This window comes from Homo sapiens, chromosome 4 (assembly GCF_000001405.40).
Source record: "Homo sapiens chromosome 4, GRCh38.p14 Primary Assembly".
Classification (NCBI taxonomy): domain Eukaryota; kingdom Metazoa; phylum Chordata; class Mammalia; order Primates; family Hominidae; genus Homo; species Homo sapiens.
The window spans coordinates 71,321,603-71,338,395 of NC_000004.12; the positions used below are offsets into that span (position 1 = coordinate 71,321,603).

At 37.2% G+C, this 16,793-nt stretch overlaps 1 protein-coding gene across 8 annotated transcripts in view; it reads left to right on the forward strand.

Annotated features, from left to right (window-relative positions):
- SLC4A4 (solute carrier family 4 member 4) overlaps positions 1-16,793 on the forward strand; it is a 509,424-nt gene that overhangs the window by 258,943 nt on the left and 233,688 nt on the right. The window lies entirely within an intron of this gene.

Sequence of the window (16,793 nt, forward strand, 5' to 3'; positions counted from 1 at the left end):
TCAAGGTTCTGGCATCTGGGGAGGGCCTGCTTGGAGTGTCATAATATGGCAGAAGGCATCACAAAGCAGAGGGGCAAAGAAGGCAAAAGAGAGCAAGAGGGGGTGAATCCATTCCCCAGATAATGTATTAGTATATTCCTGGGGGCAGAACCCTCATGACATAAACACCTCTTCAAGGTTTGACCTCCCAATCCTACCACGATGGCAATTAAATTTCCACTGAGTTTTGGATGGAAAAAACTTCTAAACCATAGCACAAGGCAAATGAAGCATTATGTTGTCTGAGAACAGTGAAACTATAGATGTCAAGTAGGAAGTGTTGGAGGATCTGTTATATTTATTTTTTCTTTACTGAGAATATAATTAAACTTCACAAAAGTTGAGGATCACTGCCACTAATTTTGGACCCTCAACTCAGAACAGATCTAAATAAGACAGAAAAGAAGAAAACCTTATTGTAGAATCTTGTTGACATTTCTGTATTACATTCAGAGTTCCAGCAAAATCTTTAGAGCGTTAATACATCTGTGGGGAATGTCACCTTTTTTCAAATAAGAAAGAACAGGCATCCATGTAACATTTCCTTGAGGCCTCCATTCCTCTCCCGATTTTAAAAGAAATTGTATTTTTAAACCACACTTCTCAGTATTGCTATCCAGGTAATATGGGTAGAATTTTTTTGGCAATGTGGGGATGAAGTCAGAAGTCCTAAAGATTCTTTAAGGTTCGGTGCCTCTATATTCTTATGCATTTTGACAGAGAGTCTATAGGAAGGAGAATGTCTTCTTTTGTATGTGAAAGCATCCAATGGCAGCATTAGTGTGGCGCTTGTGACAGTAATATTGGAGCTATATATTTAGCTACTCTCTATAGCAAATAGTTGCACTCGAACAAATCTGTAGAGTTTATTTTGGGAATCTTGAAGATTTCCTAATGTTGATGAGAATTGAGTCTGACTTTAGAAACCTCGGGGTATAAATTGTTCTGATAATTGGTCCAAGTTGAACCTGGAGAAAATGCTGATGTGTTCACTCTTAAGCAGAGTGATTCATCATGTAAACCTTATCATAGCAGCTCTGGCAGAAGGGAGAGAAGTGATGTAGGGAGTGAGAAATTAAAAGTAACTGGAAATGGTGGTTATAACATGCACAAGAAACTTTCAGGTCCTTCAGGAAAAGGTTGCTGGGTAGCCATATTCTTTACCATTTCAATTAATAAGTGTTTTCTGTTCTGTTTATAGAAAGTGTCCTTTCTTTCCATGCAACTTGCTTGAAATTCCCTTGACCCTCATCCCCATTGTTCTATGCCCATGGGATTATTTTTTGGCTTTCGTGGCTTCCCAGTTAAGTAGCGTTCAGAACCATGGCCAGTCCTGGTTCAGAACTGGCTATTCTAGTCCCTAAACAGCAGTAAAGGCAAGTGCTGTAAGATTATGTTTGTGTTGAACATATTTTTGAGAAAGATAATTGAGATTCTGCAGTTTCAAATATTGTAAGGAAGTGTGTGGCACTAATTTGACATGACTATTCTCAATTTAGCAACTAAAAAACCTTAATTGGCTTGTTTTCCTTATAAATATGATTTTAATGCTAATTTTAGAAAATTTAGAACTTGCACATAAAGAAAACAAGGAAAATGAGAATCATCAGTAATTCTTCCACTTAAGGATAATAATTGTTAACATTTAGTGTATGTCCTTCTGGTGGTTTTTTTTCTATACATATTATATAAGTTAATAAGCCTGTTGTTGCAAGTGCAAGAAACTCATTTAGAACTGGAATAAACAAACAACAAGAAAGAATTTTTTTATTCACTAAAGGAAGGATCTGGGTATAGCTGGGTTTTTGGGGAAAGTAATTTGATCTGAACAAAAGGCTACAAGAAGCTAAACACAACAACTAGAAGTAATGATTATTTAGATACTTAAGGCACTGGGTACCTTGTAATTTTAACAAGGCAGATATGCCCTGGTGGTTAAATGTGGGTGAATGGATGGGGTTGCATGAATTCCTCTTTTTTGAGTCCTCACTTAGCTTTTCTTCTGGAAATTCTCTGGCATGTGATATGTGTCAAAAGACGTAATTTGGGTCTCAATCAGGACAGCACAATGTTCTGAACTCTGTACTTACCCCCAAAATTCCTGTTATCCATTATGTCCATCTAGACTTCTTTGTCTCCTGGTTTTGTTTTCACTACTGTGTTGTTTTGGCATCCCCAAACTACTGTGTTGTTTTGGCATCCCCAAACTACTGTGTTGTTTTGGCATCCCCAAACTACTGTGTTGTTTTGGCATCCTTGGGAACGTTGGGAGTTGACATCCTTGGCAGAGTATTGAGAGTTTCATGCTTGACTCTGATGATGGTGTCTGTGATGCGGTACCCCTTCCAGGTGTTTTTTTGCAGATAGAGGGCATCAACAGAGGGCTGTAGCCAAAAGAATCAATATGTGTGAAACATCCCTTGGGGACCCAGCAAATTCTTGGGATGTTAATTTATTAGGGGGAATGCAGTCTTACGATATGCAGATGGCGCAATTGGGTGATTACCGTTTCTGTGAACCTATTTCTTCTCAAAGCCTCATGAATACCATGCAAACTTGGATTAAGTGAGGAAAATGGTATCATGGAAGGTGAAATTCGGAAAAAGTCAAAATGTTTAGTTTCATCATTAGTTTAGTTACTTAGTTTAGGTCACCATTGAGGCTGCTAAAAACTAAATGATTGATTTGAATTTTACTTTTCTCTCTGATAGTCTTGGAATATTGAAATAATATTAATAATATGCTTAATATAATTACAATTAATATAATTGGGATAATTAATAAAAGAAGCAGCAGACCAAAAAGGCTGTGGGCCAATAATTTTTTAAACATGGAATTTCATGGACCAAACTTACTTTACTGCTGTACCATCATTGAGACTACCCCTTTGAGAATGGCTTAGCAGCGTTTTAAAAAGAAAGATACATATTTACATCACTGACAGAAATCCTCGTTTTAATTTTTTAACCCACTGCTTTGGCAGAAGTTAGGAAAGAACTACACAGAATAAGTTATAGAATACAAGGAGTACTACCTTTATGTTCTAAAGAATTCTAAGTATCTTATAGATATGACCTGAATCCATGTAACGTTTTTGTAATGTAAACCCCAGGTAGATTATTTTTCTACATTTTTAAGATAAAAAGCTACGGTACAGATATTTCTTAAAAATGTCTGAGTAAACTCTAGTTTTTATCACCACTTGCTGGCTGAAATTGAACTTACTCTGCTCCTAACTAAGGTAGTTTGATAATATTATGAAACTCAGGCTCTTAATGCTGTTGACTCTCTATAGCTGAATAATAATATCATGGCATATTAAGGATAATTTGTGATAATTGACAGCTTTTCTTGAGTGGGAGCTTATTAATACTTGGATACCTAAATATGTTTAAAATTATCTATTTTAATGAATACTACTTGGCTGTTTCAGTTTCTTAGCTAATTTGAAAGAGAAAAAGTAACTGTCTAATTTACTTGTCTATAGCTTGCTAACATGTAAATTGATGGTAATTTTCTGGATTGGTTGGGGTAAAGGTATGTTAAGGCATGAAGAAAATCTAGGTAACTTGTACACATCTCTCCAAAACTTGGATTCCATTAAAAAAAAAGGTTGTTCAATGCAATTAGTTTGGTGATACACTTAACACATGGAAATTAGCTCTACTTTAACCTGTTAAAATGGAATAATAGGAGGGTATATCAGGACTGTTGGTTGCAAATGGCAGAAAATTTAGCTCAGATTGCTTTAAAACAATTTTGCTTTTAATTTAAATTGTAATTGTCAAGTATGATTGAAACATAGCTGACTTCAGGCATGGGTGGATCTAGGCATTAGAAACCTACATCTGCCTTGCTTCTGAGTTATTACATGTTTAATTTATTCTTAGGTAGACTCTTCCCTTAGAGTTGCAAGATGGCCATCTGTACTTCATAGCTTTTATTGCCATTTTAGCCTCTCAGCATAATGATTAATTTCTTAGTAGTTCTAGCAAAAGGCTGACATTTATTTACTCTGTTTCACCTATATCAGGTCAACTGCCCACTCAAAAATGAATTGCTGTGTGTGGCAAGAAGTTGTGATATTCTCATTGCTCAGACCTGGGTCATAGGGCCTTGTGGATTAAACCAAATGGTTATACAAGTATAAAGATGGTTCTCCAGAAGAAAATGGGATGCTGTCATTAGAAAAAGAGCTTAAAGGTGGTTACTAACAGATGACCACTACAATGTGTGTGTGTGTTTGTGTGTATGTGTGTGTGTTTTAAACATTTATATGTTTATAAAACTTTATTCATTTAGTTATTCTCATTTCTTTTATTTATAAAGGTGAAAATGAAGTTTGAGGATTTTATATATATATTTAAGTGTGTTTTTAGAGTGTTACAGTGGTCTGGTAATTATTATTAATAAGAATGCACTACCTTATGTCTACTTAGCCTCCCTCCATGCCTCATGCCCCTTCTTCCCTTATTCTTGATATCCTGGAATTGCACATCCCAATAAACATTAGCACATAAGCTTTGCCTGAGTTTCTACTTTCTGGGGAATATGAATGGAAAATGATATCTATCAGACTTACTTAGGGGGCTGTTTCAAATGATAAATACACCACCGTGACAGTCCTTTGATACATTGTATGCTTCAAGTTTATAAGGATGAGAAAAGGTGTAACACCACGACATTAGACTTAGAAATAGTTGACCTAAGTTTGATCCTAACTCTGCTACTTACTGTATGACATTGAGTAATTTGCTGAACCTCTCTGAGCCTCATTCCTTCATGTGGTCAACAAAGGGTCAGCATGATAACATGGGTTCTCAGGGAGGACTGCTTGGGGTGCCTGTGAATCATTAGGCAATTTACATGCATCTCCAAGCCTCAGTTTTCTCATGTGTAAAATGGAGATAGTAATACAATCTACCTAACAGGTTTGTTTTGAGGATTCAATGAGATTGTCATTCATGCGAAGCATTTGTAAAGTGCCTTATCTATTATCATCTCTGAAAAAGAGTAAAAAGCTGCCTCTTTGAAAGATTGTGAAGATTAGCTGCATTCTCTAGGCAGCTGTTGGAGCCATTTGGTTTAGGTCTGAGCACCTGAGCTATTGTAAAGCATGACATAGGTATAAAATGATGTCTTTTTCTAGGGGAAACAAAACTACTGTGATATATTTAATACATAAATTGTGGAAGTTTTAACAACCATGATATCTACCTACAAACTTTTGTCTCACAATGAAAAACAGAAATGAATACTTAAAATGATAACTATGTAAACCAGTTGAGAATAGCACATTAATAACTTAAAAATAGTTGTTTCTTTTTATACTTTGGTTTGAAAGCTGAGATTGTACCAGATTGTGGACTCTGCAAAGAAGAAAATGTGAAATCCAGAAGTCCTCATTTAACTTGTTTAAGGGAATTTATATGTAGACTTGTCATGCTCAGCAGGAATTCTTCATTGTGATCACTATTTCTATTAAAGCAATTTTTTTGGAAGCCTGCAGGGTGGCCACAGTGGGATGCTTCCTATACCAAAACCAAAAGGGTACATTCGCAAAATGCCTTTTGGTGAATAATGAACCAAATTTCAACTAATTTACTTTCTGACTATTTCATATGCCACTGTGATTTCCGTGTCTTCTGAAATCTAATACATTTACTGCCTATATTGTTCATATAGCAATCTGATCGTGTTTTCCTTTAATTCTTTTAAAAAATGAGATTAACCATTAGAGTGTGGCAGCTAACAAATGGGCTTAGAAACAACACAAATGGGTTTGAAGTCATATCACTTAGTAGTTGTGTTATCTTGAGGAAGTCCCTTACCTTCTTAGGATGCATTTTCCCTGTCTATAAGAGTAATGTAAGGGAATAATAAAAGTAACTATTTCATAGACTTGTGTAAAATTAATGATATAACAAATGCAAAACATTTAACACATTTCCTGGGATAGCGTAACCATTCAAAAATATTAGTTATTGCTTATTATAGTTTTATCCATAGCATTTCCCCTACTATGTATTATCTTTTCTTCTTTTTATTTTTTATTTTTATGGGTATATAATAGGTATATATATTTACGGGGTACATGAGATATTTTGATACAGGCAGACAGTGCATAATAATCACATCAGGGCAAATGGGGTATCCATCACTTCAAGCATTTATTATTTTTTTGTGTTATAAATTCCAATTATACTCTTTTAGTTATATTAAAATGTACAATAAATAATTATTCATTGTAGTCACCCTATTGTGCTATCAAATACTAGGCCTTATTTATTCTAACTATATTTTTGTACCCATTAACCATCCCCCACCCCACCTGCTCCCACCAACTACCCTTTTTAGTCTCTGGTAACCATCCTTCTACTCTGTATCTCCATGAGTTCAATTGTTTTAATGTTTAGTTTCCACAAATAAGTGAGGACGTGCAAAATTTGTCTGGCTTATTTCACTTAACAAAATGTCCTCCAGTTCCATCCATCTTATTGCAAATGACTGGATCTCATTCTTTTTTCATGGCTGAATAGTACTCCATTGTGTGTATATATCACATTTCAAAAATCCATTCATCTGTTGATGCTCACTTAAGTTGTTTCCAAATCTTGGCTAGTATGAATAATGCTGCAGTAAACATGCATGGGAGTACAGATATCTCTTTGATATACTGATTTCCTTTCTTTTGAGCATATACCTAGCGGTGGGATTGCTGGATCTTATGGTAGTTTTGTTTTTGGTTTTTTGAGAAACTTCCACGCTATTCTCCATAGTGGCTATACATTCCCACCAACAGTGTATGAGCGTTCCCTTTTCTCCACATCCTTGCCAGCATTCATTATTGCCTGTCTTTTGGATAAAAGCCATTTTAACTGGGTGATATGATCTCATTGTAGTTTTGATTTGCATTTCTCTGATGATCAGTGATGGTGAGCACCTTTTCATGTACCTGTTTCTTAGTTGTATGTCTTATTTTAAGAAAGATCTGTTCAGATCTTTTGCCCATTTTAAACTAGATTATTAGATTTTTCCTATTGAGTTGTTTTTAACTCCCTATATATTCTGGTTATTAATTCCTTGTCAGATGGGTAGTTTACAAATACTTTCTTCCATCTTTTGGTTGTCTCTTCACTTTGTTGATTGTTTTCTTTGCTGTGCAGAAGCTTTTTAACTTGATGTGATCCTATTTCTCCATTTTTGCTTTGGTTGTTTGTGCTTATGGGGTATTACCCAAGAAACCTTTGCCCAGTCCAATATCCTGGAGTTTCCCCAATGTTTTCTTGTAGTAGCTTCATAGTTTGAGGTTTTAAATTTAAGTCTTTAATCCATTTTGATTTGATTTTTGTATATAGTGAGAGATAAGGGTCTAGTTTTATTTTTCTGCATATTAATATCCAGTTTTCCTAGCAGCATTTATCGAAGAAACTGTTTTTCCCCAATGTATGTTCTTGGCACCTCTATAAAAAATGAGCTCACTGTAGATGTATGAGTTTGTTTCTGGGTTCTCTATTTATTCTGTTCCATTGGTTTGTGTGTCATTTTTATGGCAGTACTCTGTTGTTTTGGTTACTGTAGGTCTATAGTAAAATTTGAAGTCAGATAATGTGATGCCTCTAGTTTTGTTCTTTATGCTAAGGATGGCTTTAGCTATTCTGGGTCTTTTGTGGTTCCATATAGATTGTAGGATTTTTTTTTCTATTTCTGTGAAGAATGTCATTGGTATTTTGATAGGGATTGCATTGAATCTGTAGATTGCTTTAGGTAGTATGGACATTTTAACAATATTGATTCTTCTAATTCATGAACATGGAATATCTTTCCATTTTGTTATGTCTTCAATTTCGTGCATCAATGTTTTATAGTTTTCATTGTAGAGATCTTTCACTTTCTTGGCTAAGTCTGTTCTTAAGTATCTTATTTTATTTGTAATGATTATAAATGGAATTACTTTCTTGATTTCTTTTTCAGATTGTTCACTGCTGGCATGTAGAAATGCTACTGATTTTTGTGTACTTGATATTGTGTCATGCAACTTAACTGAATTTATTAGTTCTAATAGCTTTTTGGTGGAATCTTTAGGTTTTTCCAAATATAAGGTTATATTATTTGCAAACAAGGTTAATTTGAGTTCCTTCTTTCCAAATTGAATGCCCTTTATTTCTTCTCTTGTTTGATTGCTCTTGCTAGGACTTCTAGTACTGTGTTGAATAACTGGTGAAAGTGGGCATCCTTGTCTTGTTTTAGATCTTAGAGGAAAGACTTTCAGTTTTTTGCCATTCAGCATGATACTAGGTGTAGGTCTGTTCTTCTATTAATATTATATTGAGGTATGTTCCTTCTGTAACCAGATTTTAGAGGGTTTTTATCATGAAAGAATATTGATTTTTATCAAATGCTTTTTCAGCATCAATTGAAATGATCGTATGGTTTTTGTCCTTCATTCTGTTGATATGATGTATCACGTTAATTGATTTGCATATATTGAACTATTCTTGCATCCCTGGGATAAATTTCACTTGGTCATGATGAATGAACTTTTTAATGTGTGTTGAATTTGGTTTGCTAGTATTTTGTTGAGAATTTTTGCATCAGTGTTCATTAAGGATATTGGCCTGTAGTTTTCCTTTTCTGATTTGCCTTTGGTTTTGGTATCAGGGTAATATAAGTCTCATAGAATGAGTTTGGAAGTAGTCTTTCCTCCTCTATTTTTAGAAATGTTTTGGGTAGGTAAAACAGAGATATAGACCAATGGAACAGAACAGAGCCCTCAGAAATAATACCACACATCTACAACTATCTGATCTTTGATAAACCTGACAAAAACAAGCAATGGGGAAAGGATTCCCTATTTAACAAATGGTGCTGGGAAAATTGGCTAGCCATATGTAGAAAGCTGAAACTGGATCCCTTCCTTACACCTTATACAAAAATTAATTCAAGATGGATTAAAAACTTAAATATTAGACCTAAAACCATAAAAACCCTAGAAGAAAACCTAGGCAATACCATTCAGGACATAAGCATGGGCAAGGACTTCATGTCTAAAACACCAAAAGCAATGGCAACAAAAGCCAAAATTGACAAATGGGATGTAATTAAACTAAAGAGCTTCTGCACAGCAAAAGAAACTACCATCAGAGTGAACAGGCAACCTACAGAATGGGAGAAAATTTTTGCAATCTACTCATCTGACAAAGGGCTAATATCCAGAATCTACAAAGAACTCAAACAAATTTACAAGAAAAAAACAACCCCATCAAAAAGTGGGCGAAGGATCTGAACAGACCCTTCTCAAAAGAAGACATTTATGCAGCCAACAGGCACATGAAAAAATGCTCATCATCACTGGCCCTCAGAGAAATGCAAATCAAAACCACAATGAGATACCATCTCACACCAGTTAGAATGGCGATCATTAAAAAGTCAGGAAACAACAGGTGCTGGAGAGGATGTGGAGAAATAGGAACACTTTTACACTGTTGGTGGGACTGTAAACTGGTTCAACCATTGTGGAAGACAGTGTGGGGATTCCTCAGGGATCTAGAACTAGAAATACCATTTGACCCAGCCATCCCATTACTGGGTATATACCCAAAGGATTATAAATCATGCTGCTATAAAGACACATGCACACGTATGTTTATTGCGGCACTATTCGTAATAGCAAAGACTTGGAACCAACCCAAATGTCCATGAATGATAGACTGGATTAAGAAAATGTGGCACATATACACCATGGAATACTATGCAGCCATAAAAAATGATGAGTTCATGTCCTTTGTAGGGACATGGATGAAGCTGGAAACCATCATTCTCAGCAAACTGTTGCAGGGACAGAAAACCAAACACCACATGTTCTCACTCACAGGTGGGAATTGAACAATGAGAACCCTTGGACACAGGAAGGGGAACATCACACACTGGGGCCTGTTGTGGGGTTGGGGGAGGGGGGAGGGATAGCATTAGGAGATATACCTAATGTAAATGACGAGTTAATGGGTATAGCACACCAACATGGCACATGTATACATATGTAACAAACCTGCCCGTTGTGCACATGTACCCTAGGACTTAAAGTATTGAAAAAAAAAAAAAAAGAAATGGTTTGGATAGGATTGGCATTAGTTCTTCTTTAAATTCAGCTGTGAAACCATTGGTCCCAGGCTTTTCTATGCTAGGAGACCGTTTATTATGGCTTTAATCTAATTACTTGTTGTTAGTCTATTCAGGTTTTGAGTCTTTTCTTGGTTCAATCTTGGTAAGTTGAATGTGTCTAAGATTTGTCCATTTCTTCTAAGTTTCTCAGTTTATTGGCATATAGTTGCTCGTAGTAGTTTGTAATGATCCTTTGAATTTCTGTGGTATCAGTTGTAATGTCTGCCTATTCATCTCTGATTTCATTTATTTGGGTTCTCTCTTTTTTTCTCTTAGGCTAAAGGTTTGTCATTTTTGTTTATCTTTTCAAACAACCAGGTTTTTGTTTCATGGATCTTTTGTATTGCTTTTTTAAAATTTCATTTATTCATGCTTTGATCTTTATTATTTTTCTTCCTTTACTAATTTTGGGTTTGGTTTTATTTTGCTTTTCTATAATAGTTCTTTAAGATGCATTGTTCGGTTTTTTGTTTGAAGTTTTTCTACTTTTTAAATTATCGCTTTGAATAAACTTTCTACCCCAATCTTTCTCTCCCTTCTCTTTATGCCAATAACCCTTAGCTTTGCCCTTTTAGGCTGTTTTCTAGATCTCACAGGTGTGTTTCATTCTTTTTTCTTTTGTCTCCTCTGACTGTGTATTTTCTTTTTTTTTTTTTTTTTGAGACGGAGTCTCGTTCTGTCGCCCAGGCGGGAGTGCTGTGGCGCGATCTCCGCTCACTGCAAGCTCCGCCTTCCGGGTTCACGCCATTCTCCTGCCTCAGCCTCCCGAGTAGCTGGGACTACAGGCGCCCGCCACTGCGCCCGGCTAATTTTTTGTATTTTTAGTAGAGATGGGGTTTCACTGTGGTCTCGATCTCCTGACCTCGTGATCCGCCCGCCTCGGCCTCCCAAAGTGCTGGGATTACAGGCGTGAGCCACCGCGCCCGGCCGACTGTGTATTTTCAAATAGCCTGTCTGCGAGCTCACTAATTCTTCTGCTTAAGTCTGCTGTTGAGAGACTCTGATGCATCCTTCGGTATGTCAGTTGAATTTTTCAGCTCCAGAATTTCCACTTGATTTTTAAAAATTATTTCAATCTCTTTGTTAAAGTTATCTGATAGGATTCTGAATTCCTTCTCTGTGTTATCTTGAATTTCATTGAGCTTCCGCAAAACAGCTATTGGGAATTCTCTGTCTGAAAGGTCATATGTCTCTGTTACTTGGGATTGGTCATTGGTACCTTATTTGGTTTGTTTGGTGAGGTCATGTTTTCCTAGATAGTCTTGATGCTTGTATATATTTGTCAATGTCTGAGCATTGAAGAGTTAGGTATTTATTGTAGTCTTTACAGTCTGGGCTTGTTTGTACCTGTCTTGGGAAAGCTTTTCAAGCATTCAAAGGGAATTGATTGTTGTGATCTATGACTTTGGATATGATATCGCTGCAGCCATGTCTGCGTTAGGCAGCACCATAAGCCCAGTAATGCTGTGACTCTTACAGACTTGCAGGTTTACCACCTTTGTGGTTGTGTTAAGATCTGAGAGAATTCCCTGGATTACCAGGCAGAGACTCTTGTTCTCTTCTCTTACTTTCCTCTGAACAGAAGAAGTCTCTCTTTCCATTTGAGCTACCTGGAGTTGGGGGAGGTGTGACTCAAGTACCCCTGTGGTCATTACTACTGGGATTATACTGGGTCAGACTCGAAGTCAGCACAGCATTGGATCTCACCCAAGGCCCACAGTGACCATTGTTTGGCTACCACCAATGTTCAGACAAGGTCCAAGGGCTCTTCAGTCACCATGTGGTGAATCCAGCCAGGCTTGCGTCCTTCCCTTCAGGGCAGTGAGCTGAGGGCAGGTACAGAAATGCCATGCAGGAACCAGGGCCTGGAGCCGGGAACTTTAGGAATCTATTTGGTACTCTATTCTGCTGCTGCTGAGCTGGCACCCAAGCTGCAAAGCAAAGTCCTTTACACTCTTTCTTCCCCTTTCCTGATGCAGAAGGAGCCTCTCTGCATGGCAGCCACTGCCCCGTGCCTGGCTACTGCTGATGTTCAGTCAAGGCTCAAGCTGGCTATTCAGTCAGCTTATGGTGAATGCTGCCAGGCCTGGGTTTCTAACTTCAGGGAAGTGGGCTCTTCTCTGGCCCAGGGCAGGTCCAGAAATGCTGTCTAAGAGCGAAGGCCTGGAATTGGGGATCATAGGAGCCTGCTTGGTACTCTGCTCCACTGTGGCTGAGCTGGTGCCCAAGCTGCAAGACAAAGTCACCTTCATTCTTCCCTCTCCTTTCATCCAGCAGGCACTTCTCCCCATGGCCACCACAGCTGGGAATGCACTGGGTCACACCTGAAGCCAGCATAGCTCTGGATCTCACTCAAGGTCCATGGCAAGTACTTCCTGGGTACCCTTGATGTTTATTCAAAGCCCAAGGTCTCTTAGTCAGCAGGTGATGAATCTTGCCAAGACTGGGTCCTTACTTTCAAAGCAGGAGGTTCCCTTTAGCCCAGGGTATGTCTAAAAATGTCACCTGGGAGCTAGGGCCTGGAATTGGGGCCTTAAGACTCTGCCTAGTATCTTAACCTACTGTGGCTAAGCTGGTATCCAAGTTGGAAGACAAAGTCCTCTTTACTCTTCCCTCTACTCTCCTCAAGCAGAAGGAAGGAGTTTCTCCCAGAGCTGCACTGCTTGGAGTTGGGGGAGAGGTGGTGCAAGCACTTTCTTGGCTTCCCAAGCTGGTGTCTCGCTAAGTCATATGCACCCCAAGTCTCTTGGCTCTGAGCCCAGTACAGCACCAGTAGAAACTTCCAGGAGTTGCAAACTAGTTTATGACACACGATTTTGGAATTTTAATCCCCCAAAATTGATATACTGGTTGCTCAGGTGCCTATATGTAATAAATAAGACAACCTATGAAAGGGGTTAGGCATGGTACCTAGAGAGGAAGACCTGGAGGTAGTGTTACATCCTTCTTCCATTCCATTTTGCAGAAGTCACCACTGAGTTGCTGTCTAATGAGTAGTGATTCATGTTTTGCTAAATTGAGAATGCCAGACTACAGAGTAATGCTCTGTGGAGGAGAGCCGAGCAGGGATATGTAGTATCTATGCTGTTTTTTAGGCAGGAGACCAATTTATTTTTTTCTGTTAGAGGTGGGGACAAACCTACATCACATCTTTAGAAATGGACAAAAGGTTGATTATCTGACTCTAGACTTCTCCCTTCTAGAAGCTAATTCTATGGAGTACGTATGGACACAAAGAAGGGAACAGACACAGGGGCCTACGTGAAGTGGAGGGAGGGAGGAAGGTGAGGATCAAAAAACTACCTATTGGGTACTATTCTTATTACCTAGGTGGCAGATAATCTGTACACCAAACCCCTGTGACACACAATTTACCTATATAGCAAACCTGCACATGTACGCCTATATCTAAAATAAAAGTTAAAAAAAATTAAAGCTAGTTCTGATTTAGGGATCTTTGATGTTGAATGTTGATGAAAAGTGATTTATATTTGTGATTGCTAGTTTCAGAACCACTACGATGAAAAAAGTGACTAAACTTTTGGTAATGTGAACACACTACTCCTTAGAAGTATTGTCCAGACTCCAAATTCTGCCTGTCATTTCTTCATTTTCATGCCCTCCTGATTGCCTAAAATAGTTAGACTTCCCATTTCATGATTGGAAAGGCATTGCAAATATTTTTACATTAAAGTCCTGGAACTGTAGATTATTTTCTACCAGGGATATTAAGAAATTTCAGGCCAGGTGCAGTGGCTCATGCCTGTAATCCCAGCACTTTGGAGGGCCGAGGAGCGGGGATCACAAGGTTGGGAGATCGAGACCATCCTGACTAACACGGTGAAACCCCGTCTCTACTAAAAATACAAAAAATTAGCCGGGCATTGTGGTGGGTGCCTGTAGTCCCAGCTACTCAGGAGGCTGAGGCAGGAGAATGGTGTGAACCCGGGAGGCGGAGCTTGCAGTGAGCTGAGTTAGCGCCACTGCACTCCAGCCTGGGCAATAGTGTGAGACTCTGTCTCAAAAAAAAAAAAAATTTCTAATCACAAAGTAAAACATATTCATTGTACCTTGTATCAGTATGTACTCAATTACCTTATTTTAATGTTCTGCATACATTTATATTTAGCAGATTTTTTTCTGGTATTGGTTTATGTGCTAATTTACTTATTTATTTAAAGAATAAATTACTTAGTTAATATTTATTTTCCCTACATACATGTAAACTCTGTAAGATCAGAGATCTTTTTGTCAGAGGCTGAAGATAAAGCCTGTTAAGCCAATTAAGAGCATAGACAGTGCTCAGTAAACATTTGCTGAATGGAATACATGAGTGAATTGTAAACACTTTGGAATTTATAGAAAAGTGAACATAAGAAAACAGAAGCCCTAGAAATAAACCATATAACACTGAAAGTGTACCTGTGTATTTAAATATGCCTGTATATGTAGAAGTCCTTGCTTTGTACCGTAGTGCATGACTGTAAAAAAAAGACTTTGCAAACTGAAATTATGCAAAACAATCCTAATAATCAATGAAAACAGTTACTATTGCTCTTTGACCTTTAAAAATTTTTAAATCACTACAGTCTCTCTTGTTGTTAGCTATAAAGGTATAGGGAAATGGAAAAAGGTAAAACTAATATTTATTCAGTACACAGTAATTTAAAACATTAGAAATATTGATATTAAAATTGTTTCATTGTACAGTCTTATCAGGAGTAGTTTGAATAGTGCTTGCCTTCTTCCTGTTGTACAACTTATGATACAGAGCATGCATTTTTTTTCAATGCCTAGACAAACTGTCATGCTCTCTAAATGTGGATCAGCTTACATTTTATCCTGTGTGCTTTCCATGTCAAGAAATGTCTCCTAAAACTCCTTGAATGTGAAGTTTTTAGCCAGTATCACTTTCTCTAGGACATCATCATCCTTTTCATTACAATCACTTTCCTTGTTTATGTTGATTAATTCACCTTCACTAAGTTCCTCTAACTGCATATACAGAGTCTTTCAATGGTGAATGGCAGCATCGTTTACATTCCATGATTAGCTACGTCGTCTCCATTTACGTTTGATACAAATTTTACTTCCAATAGTATTAATTTTTGTTTGTGTACATTGCCTTCATTCTTGTTGTCCAGTTCTGTCTTTGATTATCCATGTCACTTGCATTTATCTTTGGGAGACAAGAAGGCAACACAGCTACACACTTTGCTGTCTGTGTGTGAACTGAACAACAAACACGCAGTGATCAATCACTGACATATTTTAAAGAAACACCCCATGATTGGTCAATGATCATTATGCACACATGTTAGTTACGTAGTGATTTATGGACTGAAGAGCTAGCTGCAAAGTTTGTACTTTATGAAATTACTATTAATATACCATGTTAACTGAAATTTGAACTGTATTGTTAGGGACTATGTTATTTAATCTAAATTGTGGTGACTGAAATGTACACATATCAGACTGAGCACCGTGAGGGCTGCCTCAATTCCTAGCTTTATTTTATAGAAATATATATTTCTTGTTTCTTTACTAAAATGGGATCATTTAATGTGTATTATTTTTATTTTTAATTTTATATGGTATACATGTCAAAAAAGTCCAGCTATTTTGACTTCATATTTTATGATTGAGTGGTATTTCATTGTGTAGTTGTACCATACTTTATTTAACCAATCTTCCTTTATGGATGTTTAGGATTTTTCTGTTTTCTCAGTTATAAACAATGCTAGAATGATCACCTCTGTCACTAAACCTTTGAGATAACTCTTATTTATTTAGAATGAATGTATTTCTAGTACAAGAATTGTTGGCTCACAGGATATATACACTATTTAAAAATTTTCATGTCCCACCAGAAATTTTCATGTCCTTCAAGCATTTCCCTTTAGAGAGATGTTTCCATTTAGGCTCCTACCAGTAACATAAATCAAGAAGTGCTGGGTGCATGATTCCCAAACCCTTGCCCACGTTGGGATTATCATTTTTTTTTTTATTTTTGACATTTAATTAATTAATTAATTAATTAATTTATAGACAGGGTCTTGCTTTGTCACCCAGGCTGGAGTGCAATGGCATGATCTCGGCTCACTGCAACCTCTGTCTCCCAGGTTCAAGCCATTTTCCTGCCTCACCCTCTTGAGTAGCTGGGAATACAGGCACACGCCACCACGCCTGGCTAATTTTTTGTATTTTTTTAGTAGAAACAGGGTTTCACCATGTTGGCCAGGCTGGTCTCGAACTCCTGACCTCAGGTGATCCACCCGCCTCGGCCTCCCAAAGTGTTGGGATCGCAGGTGTAAGCCACCGCGCCCTGCCATTTTTTGACATTTTAATAGGTGAAACACATTTTATTTTAATGATTAGTTTCGATTTTTAATTAGGTTGAATATTTTTCATGGGTTTATTTGTACTAAATAAATTTTGATCTATGGAATTTTATTCTGTCCTGTATTATAATAGTTTTCAGATGGTAGGGATTTTTGGTTTTATTGGGTCATTTGTGTACATATATTTCTACAAATTTATATATGCATGTGTGTATGTGTGTCTATCCATAATAAATATATTTGTGTGTACTT